This window comes from Homo sapiens, chromosome 16 (genome assembly GCF_000001405.40).
Source record: "Homo sapiens chromosome 16, GRCh38.p14 Primary Assembly".
Taxonomy (NCBI): domain Eukaryota; kingdom Metazoa; phylum Chordata; class Mammalia; order Primates; family Hominidae; genus Homo; species Homo sapiens.
Window position 1 is genome coordinate 16,861,680 of NC_000016.10, and position 10,710 is coordinate 16,872,389.

The window sequence follows — 10,710 nt, forward strand, 5'->3', positions numbered from 1 at the left end:
TTCCTGTCCCCAGGGCAGGCTGCAGAAATTAATGCTCAATGTTCCAATCCTGGGCCCTGGTTCGTACCATCCCTCTGGCCTAGGGCTGAAGATGAATTGATTTTGTTTTCAGTGACACCTGCAGAGGGCAAAAGTCATGCCCACACTGTGACATGGAGTGAACCTGTAGTGGCTCTTGGACTGAACAAGTTCTGACATGTGTGTTGGTTATGTTTGCACCTGTTTTCTCCTCCTCCCCCGTCCCCAAATTAGATCGTGAGATCCCTGCAGGAAGAGACTGAGTCCTGTAACCCAGAGTTCTCTTTCTGTAAAGCCCTCAATACCTGTTAAGTCTCAATTAAGAATAAGGTAGCTTGGGGACCTGGCATGGTAGCTCACACCTGTAATCCCAGCACTTTGGGGAGGCCCAGTTGGGTGGATCACTTGAGGCCAGGAGTTCGAGACCAGCCTGGCCAACATGGTGAAACTCTGTCTCTACTAAAAATACAAAAATTAGACAGGCGTGGTGGGGCATACCTGTAATCCCAGCTACTCGGGAGGCTGAGGCAGGAGAATTGCTTGAACCCAGGAGGTGGAGGCTGCAGTGAGCTGAGATCACACCACTGCACTCCAGCCTGGGCAACAGAGTGAGATTACATCTCAACCAAAAAAAAAAAAAAAAAAAAAAAGAAAAAAGAGATGGTGGCTAGGAAAATAGAGGCTAGAAAGAAAAAAAAAAGTAGGTGTTTTGAAAGCAGAAAACAAAGTATAAAAAATTATTGAGCTGGGAGTCAGAAAATCCAAATTTTACATTTGGATTAGGTCTTAATTCACTGGCTGACTTTGGACAAGCCTATTGACCTTTCTGGGGTCAAGTTGGTTTATGTATAGGAGGTTGGATAGAATGATCTCTCAACCTCTATTAGCTCTGACCTCCTTGGATACAAAAGTTCTTCTTGTCTTTTGTTGTTGTTTTTTGTTTGTTTTTGGGATGGGAGGATGTCAAATTGCATCTAGAAGTGAATCATTGGGCACCGTCAAGAAACCTGGGGAACTCAGGTCCTGGGGCATCCAGGGCAGGTCAGGCCTGAGGCTGAGCTGCACTTAACAATCCACCCTCCTTGCAGGGCCATTGGCGCCGGCCGCACCAGCACAGCCCATACATCATTATTAGATTCCCTTCATCATGCTAATTGACATGGGATGAAAAATATCCAGTGAAGGAAACAGCAAATGCTTTCACATTCAGCCAGGGCACCTGGCAAATGGGAGAAACTGCTGTAAAAGTTAACTGAGATTGAAAACGGGCCTACTAATATCTTGTAGGGTGAATGTTTCCTGTTGCCGGGAACTAGTTCGGATTGGCAATGTGAGTGAGTGGTGGAGACAGGGAGGGAGGGAAGCTTGGGGTACCACGTGTGAAGTGTAGAGGTTGGGGGGAACCTTTTAAGACAGTTTAGGTTCAGATGCATGGAGAACCAGACAGAACAAATAAAGAAGGATAGAGAGGAGAGAGAGGGAGCTGGTCTTGTCTCCTCTAAACTGTAGTGATAATTGTACCCCCTTCTCAGTTTGAATTCTGTTGAGAATTATTTTCTCAAGAAGAGTCCAGTATTGGGTGGAGGGGAATGTAGAATTCCTGGCTCTAGACCAGTCTGGGGGTAGAGGAGGTTGCACCCCAGGGGACATTAGGTAATGTCTGGAGACATATTTGGTTGTCATAAGTTGGGGGCGGGTTATATTAGCATCTCCTGGGTAAAGGCCAGGGATGTGGCAAAACATCCTACAATGCACAGGGCCACCCCCTCCCACCAAGCACATAATGATCCCGTCTAACATGTCAATAGTCCTGAGGTGAGGAAGCCCGGCTCTAAAACAATGTGTGACTTTGCACAAGTAACTAAACACCTCCGGGTGACTATTTTATCAATCTACGTGACAAATTTTACATGGTATGGTAGATTGCTGGCAAAAATAGCCCAAATTCTCCTCCATGTCCCCCCTGGCCATTGCAATATCACTTTGCAGCTCCTGCTATCAAGACATGGAGTCTGTTCCTCACTCTTTGAATCACGGCTAGCCTGTGTCTTGCTTTGTTCAGCAGAATCTGCAGAATTGGTAGCACCAAGTCTAGGCCTCAGAGGCTTTGCACAGTTCTGTTGTCTCCTTCCGAGCCCTGCTCTCCTGTGTGCGTGAGCCTGGGCTAATCTGCTGGAGGATGAGACACCACGTGTACAACAGGCAAACTGCCCTACCCTGTCTATGCTAAAAATACAATTGCTAAAAATTGCAAGATACAGTCCAGCCTAGAGTAAAACTATCTACTGACCGAGGACCATGGACTGCAGACCCTAGCTGAGATAAGAAAACCCACCCAGGTAATCCATAGTTTCCTGGGAGATAACAGATTCGTACTTTTTTTTTTTTTTTTTTTCCTTTGAGATGGAGTTTCGCTCTTTTACCCAGGCTGGAGTACAGTGGCACGATCTTGGCTCACTGCAACCTGCCTCCTGAGTAGCTGAGATTACAGGCACCCACCACCATGCCCAGCTAATTTTTGTATTTTTAGTAGAGACAGGCTTTCACTTGAACCCCTGACTTCGTGATCCGCCCACCTTGGCCTCCCTAAGGGCTGGAATTACAGGCGTGAGCCACCATGCCTAGCTCCAGATTCTTACTGTTTAACCCACTGAATTTCAGGGTGGTTCATTATGCAACAATAGCTAGCTAATATGCAAGGTCTTGAAATTAAGACTCAACGGTGAATTCCAAGGGGAATGGGAAACATCTCAAGATTTGCTTCCTTTGTTAATAGCTGACATTTTCCTAAGTCCGATAGCTTTAAATGAATCAAGATGTGCATAACTGCATCCTTTGATACCCAATTAATGGAGCTGGGCAAGTTCTATCTGGAGACAAGTTTGCTAAAGGTTAATTTTATTCACTTTTATCAGGACAAGTTGCAGCAATCAACTCTGACTTAAACAATAGCGAAAGGGCATTGGTGAGGACACCAGGAAGCTGATGAATACACAGCCTTCAGCAACATCGGGAGTCAGAGCTGCTCCAGGGATCTTGGCAGGAGGGATTTGTGGCTCTCCTTCCAGAATGCTGTCAAGGGTGACAGAGGCCTAAGCACCTTTCATCCTCATGTAATTTGTGCTCCAGATTTGAAGACCAGGGTGGAAGAACCTCATTGGCTTTCCTTATGTCACCTGCTCTGCTAATAGGTGGTATCGTTTGATTGGCACCTCTGCCATTCCCACGTAGAGTGGAAAAGGGCAATCAGACAGAAACAGAAGGTGCCGTCTGCCTCCCTCCTCCCTACCCCTTCCCCTGCCACCCACAACCCTACAGATTGGGAAAGGTAGAATTAGGAAGTATGTTTAGAATTTTTGGTGTGTGGTCTGGACCTCTAAGATGGCTCATCATAGCCTAGCTGGAAAATGGAAAGCCTCCGTCAGAAATTAAAAATCAAATGTAACAGTGCTGTTGACTCTCATACGACTCTCCTCCAGTCACCCTTCACTTGTCATGTCAGTGTCAGCATTTGTGGTAATGGTTTGGGATGTGGAAGGGGGAGTGAGAAGGGAGATAATCCTTCTTCTTCTCCTTCTTCTTCTGAGACAGGGTCTTGCTTTGCTCTCTCTCCCAGGTTGGAGTGCAGTAGCATGATCATGGCTCACTGCAGCCTTGAACTCCTGGGCTCAAGCAATCCTCCTGGCTCAGCCTCCTGAGTAGCTCAGGCTACAGGCATGGACCACCCCACCTGGATAATTTTATTTTTTACTTTGTAAAGATAGGGCCTCGCTGTGTTGCCCAGGCTGGTCTCAGACTCCTAGGTTCAAATGATCCTACAGCCTTGGCCACTGCACCCAGTCTTGATCTGACTTTTGAAGCACTATGTATTTACCGTACTCCAGCCTGGGCAACAGAGAGACATCCTGTTTCTAAATAAGTGTTATCTCTTAGTGCTATTTCTATTCTTGTTGTCAGCTTGCAAGTTGATAGCTGGGGTCAAAAGTGTGACAGTTGTTTGAGTCAGATTTGGACCAGAACATTTTCTGCCACTTATTCCAAGGAGATGGCAAGGGTCAGCGGGGGGTCCTAAAAGTCTCGGGTCCAGACATTAAGTTTCTGCCTTCTGTAAGTCACCCAAAGATCCCCAAAGTGTCCCAGCTGTAGAGACACATGAATTACCTACTTCCCACCTGTAAATTAGGAGGGCTGTACACAATCTGAGGTTTACAACTATTTTTTTCTTTTAATTTTCTTGAACCCTTCAAGTAAAATCTTATGTTGAAGTTCAGCACATATAACTGATAAATGTGAGTCATTTTCATAGAAGCAGTTGTTGTGTGTGTTTTGGGGCGCAGTGGGGAGCAGGGGGAGCAGGTTGGAGCCCTACTCATATTTGGCCTCCCCCTCTTCTCCAAAGTGGCTCTGAAGACATCTCTAGGACCCTCTTGGTTTTGAGGACCACTTGTGAAGACCATGGGACCAGTGACATTGAGGCCTTTCCAAGCTTTGAGTACAATTCTCTGTGTGTAGATTTGAGGAAATGGTCTTCATCAGTGCTGAGATACAGAAGATAGACCTGGTGGAGAAAGCCAGGGGGATGGCAGATGCTGGACCAAGCCATTCTCCTGCCTCAGCCTCCCAAGTAGCTGGGACTACAGGCGCCTGCCACCACGCCTGGCTAATTTTTTATATTTTTAGTAGAGATGGGGTTTCACCGTGTTAGCCAGGACGGTCTCGATCTCCTGACCTCATGATCCGTCCGCCTCGGCCTCCCAAAGTGCTGGGATTACAGGCGTGAGCCACTGCGCCTGGCCTCTTCATCTCCTTTTTTGCACAAAGCAGCACAGTGAGGCAGAAGAACAAGGGCTTTGCAACTCTGATCCCAGCTATCGACTTCTGAGCTGACAACAAGAATATTAATAGTACCAACAGCTAATACTTTTTTTGGGGGGATGGAAATGGATTTCATTTGGCATTTTTACCAAAGATGAGGGTGTTCCCTAGGGAGGTAGCCCAGCAGAGAGCTTAAGAGTCTGGAATGTTGAAGACGAACAGTCTCAGGCTGTAGTCCCCCCAGTCCTGCCACGTGTTAGCTGGATAGTCTCTTTATGGCTCTGAGTCTCAGTTTTCTCAACTGCAAAATGGAGAAGCAACAGTATCTACTTCCTAGAGCTGCTGAGAGAATTTCAGTGTAATGACGAATGGGAGGTGCTTGGAGAGTGAACCTTGGAGAGTGGGTAAATTCTACAAAATATAGAAAAATTGCTCAGGTGGAGAGTGTACATGAATGGAGGGTGAAAGCAGCAGCCAGGTGTGGTGGCTCACACCTATAATCCAAGCACTTTGGGAGGCCAAGGCAGGAGGATTGCTTGAGGCTAGGAGTTTGAGACCAGTCTGGGCAACATAGCCAGACCCCATCTCTAAAAAATAAAAAAAATTAGCTGCCTATTGTGGCAGGTACCTGTAGTCCCAGCTACTCAGGAGGCAGAGGTGGGAGGATAATTTGAGCCCAGGAATTTGAGACCAGCCTGGGCAACATAGCAAGACCCTGTCTCTACAAAAAATAAAGTAGCCGGGCATGGTGGCTCCCACTGGTAGTGCCAACTACTTGGGATGCTGAGGTAGGAGGATAGCTTGAATCCCGGAGTTAGAGGCTGCAGTGAGCTATGATTGCACCACTGGATAACTCCAGCTTGGGTAACAGAGTAAGACCTCATCCGCCCAAAAAAAGTATTAGCTGTTGGTACTATTAATATTCTTGTTGTCAGCTCAGAAGTCGATAGCTGGGATCAGAGTTGCAAAGCCCTTGTTCTTCTGCCTCACTGTGCTGCTTTGTGCAAAAAAGGAGATGAAGAGGCCAGGCGCAGTGGCTCACGCCTGTAATCCCAGCACTTTGGGAGGCCGAGGCGGACGGATCATGAGGTCAGGAGATCGAGACCGTCCTGGCTAACACGGTGAAACTCCATCTCTACTAAAAATACAAAAAATTAGCCAGGCGTGGTGGCGGGCGCCTGTAGTCCCAGCTACTTGGGAGGCTGAGGCAGGAGAATGGCTTGAACCCGGGAGGCGGAGCTTGCAGTGAGCCAAGACTGCGTCACTGCACTCCAGCCTGGGCGACAGAGCGAGACTCCGTCTCAAAAAAAAAAAAAAAAAAAGAAAAGATGAAGAAAAAGGAGGGCACCTCTCACCTTTGCTAGGAGTTTGCTCCTAACATTCTCTTCTCTAATGCTAGGGGTCCCAGTCCCCATTCTCTCTCTTACAAAGGACCATTCACTTTTCCTGTCGTCCCCTGACAAGACCTCCAGGAGCGAAATTAAAGCAATAAGAGCTAAACTGTCTGTGATCGGAGAACAGAGAATGTGATAATGATATATAAAGCTTAAAAGCACTAAGTGGGCAAAACTGGTGCTAGAGAAGTGAGTAAAACCAAGACAAATCCGTCCCTTGAGAGCTATAACACATAACTTAAATAACCGGAGCAGCAGGGGTCCGTTATCCCTTGGAAGAGCGGTTTGCACTCCCGTGGAGCACAGCCTCTGCCCAGCATCCATAATTCCCCATGTGCTTAGGACTGGTCACCACAGCCTCAGGGTTAACTGCTGGTTGGATCAGGGTTTCTGCTGCCACCTGGGCACATGCAGCCCACCCTATCTGGCAGCAGACATCTGAGGTCTAACCTCAGCAGTAAGATGGACTGGAGAAAGAACTGCATGGACACTGAGAGGACTCAGATTTTGTTTTTGCCTCCACCCTTTTTGAGCTGTGTGACCTTGATTAAGTTACATCACCTTTCTGAAGAACCCTGTCTTTTTTTTAAAAAAAACTTTCTATTTAAAGTTGTGGGTCTCAACATGGGGTCCCTAGAGGAAAAGCATCAGTATCACTTGGGAACATGTTAGAAATGCAGATTCTTGGGCCACACCGCAGACCCATGAAACTAGAAACTCTGGGGGTGTCTCCTAGAAATCTGTGTTTTAACGAGCCTTCTGGTACATGCTGAGGTTCGGGAATGAGTCTTTTAAGAAAAATGATCCCAACTTGTGTTTTTATTCCCTGGCATCCTTAACTCGTTAATAAGGAGGGAAGGAGTTCAATGTTAATGGGAGCTAGCTGGGCTTCCAGGAAGTTCCTGGGCTAAGTCACAAGAGCTTTTGTTCCAGGAGACATTTGGGGCATGCTGAGGCAGGAGGATCCCTTGAGTCTGGGAGGTTGAGGCTGCAGTGAGCTGTGATCAAGCCACTGCGAAGTCTCCATACCTCTCTAAGATTCACTGCAGGTGTGTGTACTTCCTTCATTCCAGGCCCAGCTGACTTTTTTCCCTTCCATAGTCCTTTGCTCTTTCCCCCTTCCCTTCTCCCAGACACAAGAAATGCTTTCAGTCTGGGAAAAGTTCAGGGAGGTGGGAACTTGTCTCTACCCAATAGCAATTTTTCTATATTTTGCAGAATTTATGCCCTAATTCCTTTTAGCCGTGGGCTTTTGAAGCTCAAAAGCTCACGTTTGGAAACTCACAATATGAGGCATTTGAAATTTAAAGCCTTTTCCTTTGCTTTTCTGCAGCCCCTTTATTAAGCAAATAAATGCTGTTAAATCGAGTTGCTGCTGGAGTCAGGGAAAGGAAAGAGAGTGAGGAGTAATGAGAGTGATATGGAGGAGAGAGTGCAGTCAATGATTTCAAAGGTAAATGTCTTTCCACATAAACTTGTGATATAAATAAAGAGAGGAACAGGCATTCTGCTGAACATCTCTGGGCAACATTACCCTTTATTTAAAAAACTCTACACGCCTTATTTTATGGAGAGTTCTGGAACCCAAGATAGGAATGTCACTTATGTGCATATTCTTACGCCAGCTTTCCTTCCCACATACCATTATGATAACTCTCCATCCCTGTAAATAACCAGGGGGTCTCTCTTCCTTCTGACCCTTGCACAACGTAGCTAGCTGGAGTGATCCATTTCTTCTTCTTCTTTTTTTTTTTTTTTTTTTTTTTTGAGATGGAGTCTCGCTCTGTCACCCAGGCTGGAGCAATCCATTTCTATCTTTCGTGACACCCGTCTGGTACTACTTTGAGAACTAGATGAAAACTAGAAGTGCTTTTTGTCTATTTAAAAACCTTATTATGCTGGTTTCAATGTGTTTTTTGGTAGTTACAGTTCTGAGAAGTGTGGATTTTGCAGTTCCACACTGTTAAGCATGATCTCACTGTTGTGTATCTGGGTAAAAGGTGATTTAAAGGCATCGCAAGGAGCCAAGCTTCCATCTGATGAGAAATGCAAAAAGACACAAGGGGGCCATTCCTGGAAGTGTGAAACTCTATGTTCAACAGGACCAAGAGACGAGTCGGTTGCATATTTACATTTTACATTTATGTGATGCATTAGAATTTATAAAGCGTATTCACATGCATTAATCACTAAGATGGAATTTTAACAGGCAACTGGTACGAGCTGCATTGGAATAAGAGGGATTGATAGTATTTAAGGACCAGTCAGAAGAGGACTGATGGTATTTAAGGACCAGTTACAAAACAGGCTGGTTGCAGTGACTCACACTTGTAATTCCAGCACTTTGGGAGGCCGAGGCAGGAGGATCACTTAAGCCCAGGAGTTCCAGATCAGCCTGGGCAACATAGTGAGACCTCCATCTCTACAAAAAATGTTTTAAAAAATTAGCTGGGAACGGTGGCATGTGCCTTTAGTTCCAGTTACCTGGGAGGCTGAGGCAGGAGGATCACTTGAGTGCGGGGGGGGGTTGAGGCTGCAGAGAGCTACGATCACACCACTGCACTCCAGCCTGGGTGACAGATCCTGTCTCAAAAAAAAAACCAAAAACAAGCAGAAAGTGAAAAAATAGTGACAGAGTATATTTCTTTGAATCATGCCTTCAATTGCATGTGCTCCTTGGTTAAGAACACTCATTGAGGATTATATTTAACTTTTCTGTTTTATTTTATATAGAAAAACCCATATTAGAGCAAAATATACCTTAGTAGTGGTAAGCTGTGGTGACTCTAATTAATACTGCTTTCTAACTACTCTACAGGAAAAGTGATCTACAGGGTTTACCTGTAGAAATACAGCAGTGCCATAGCCAGGCGTGGTGGCTCACACCTGTAACCCCAGCACTTTGAGAGGCTGAGGCAGGTGGATCATGAGGTCAAGAGATCGAGACCATCCTGGCCAACATGGTGAAACCCCGTCTCTACTAAAAATACAAAAATTAGCTGGGCATGGTGGCACCCACCTGTAGTCCCACCTACTTGGGAGGCTGAGGCAGGAGAATCACTTGAACCCAGGAGGCAGAGATTGCAGTGAGCCAAGATCGCGCCATTACACTCCAGCCTGGGCAACAGAGAGAGACTCCGCCCCCCCCCCCCAAAAAAAACAAAACAAAACAAAACAAAAAAAGCAGTGCCATTAGGCACTAGTGCCAGAGTGGTTGCATGCATCTGGATTCCCTGGAAATTCCTGGGAGCGGGAGTGACAGAGCCCAGTCCTGTCACTGAGTGGGTTCTTAAGATGACCACGGTTCCTGTTTTCCCACAGCCCTCTGTCAAGTCTTCACCGACGGGCAGACAGCACAGTTCACATTTCAGTCACGGCACTGGCTTGCCCCTCTTGCTTGGCAGAGAAAGGACAGTGACTCCCTTACCTGGAAGGTTGTGCTCTTATCTAACAGAAGGAAGGTGAAGAGGTGCAGAGCAGAGGATGACAGCCGGGGGGCAACATGACTTTTGCTGGATGTGAGAAATGCCAAGTCAGTCGCTATACCGACCTTAGTTCTTCAGCCCCACGTCCCATTTGAGACGCATATTCCTGCATTCTAGGGATACACCCAACTGACCTGTTTCATGGAGGGAAATTAGAGTTTGGCTTTGGCTGTCAGTTTCTGAAAGGAATTAAAGGGTTTGCTCCTCATCCTCCATGCCGTGCTATAATACACCAAAATGACCACCCGGCAGTTTGCAGCTGAACTCAGACATCATATAGTCAGTTACATCTCTCTCGTCAGATAACAAATGTCTTGGACCCCACTGTGGAGGGGTAATTGGAATTCAGCTACCGTGGGAACTCTACCTTAATTGCCATACAGGATGACAACAAGGGAGCCCAAATAGCAGAATACATCCCTGTATCATTTTTTTCTTGGCTTGGCAGAGGTGTGTGTAGTGCTGGTGTATTAGGGTTCTCGAGAGGGACAGAACTAATAGGAGAGATGTATATATAAAGGGGAGTTTATTAAGGAGTATTTACTCACACAATCACAAAGTGAGGTCTTACAGTATGTTGTCTGCAAGCTGAGGAGCAAGGAAGCCAGTCTTGAGTCCCAAAGCTGAAGGACGTGGAGTCTGATGTTCAAGGGCAGGAAACATCCAGCTCGGGAGAAAGATGGAGGCCAGAAGACTAAACCCGTCTATTCTCTCCATGTTCTGCCTGCTTTTATTCTGGCCACACTCACAGCTGATTAGATGGTGCCCATCCAGATTGAGGGTGGGTCTGCCTCTCCCAGTCCACTGACTCAAATGTTAATCTCCTTTGGCAACACCCTCACAGACACATCCAGGAACAGTACTTCGCATCCTTCAATCCAATCAAGTTGACACTCAATATTAACCATCATAGCTGGGTTCTGTCAGTTGCTCTCCCAGGACTTTCCAGGGAATACAGATTAGTAGAGATAGAAGAAGATAAGGAAAGACTATTGCAT

The 10,710-nt window shown here is 46.3% G+C and overlaps 1 annotated feature.

Moving 5' to 3' along the window:
- Positions 7,311–7,810: an enhancer, noted in NCBI's record as "H3K27ac hESC enhancer chr16:16962847-16963346 (GRCh37/hg19 assembly coordinates)". NCBI's record gives its function as "activates a minimal SCP1, AML or CMV promoter by ChIP-STARR-seq in naive H9 embryonic stem cells {active_cell/tissue: H9 hESC(naive)}" and the evidence as "EXISTENCE:reporter gene assay evidence [ECO:0000049][PMID:30033119]".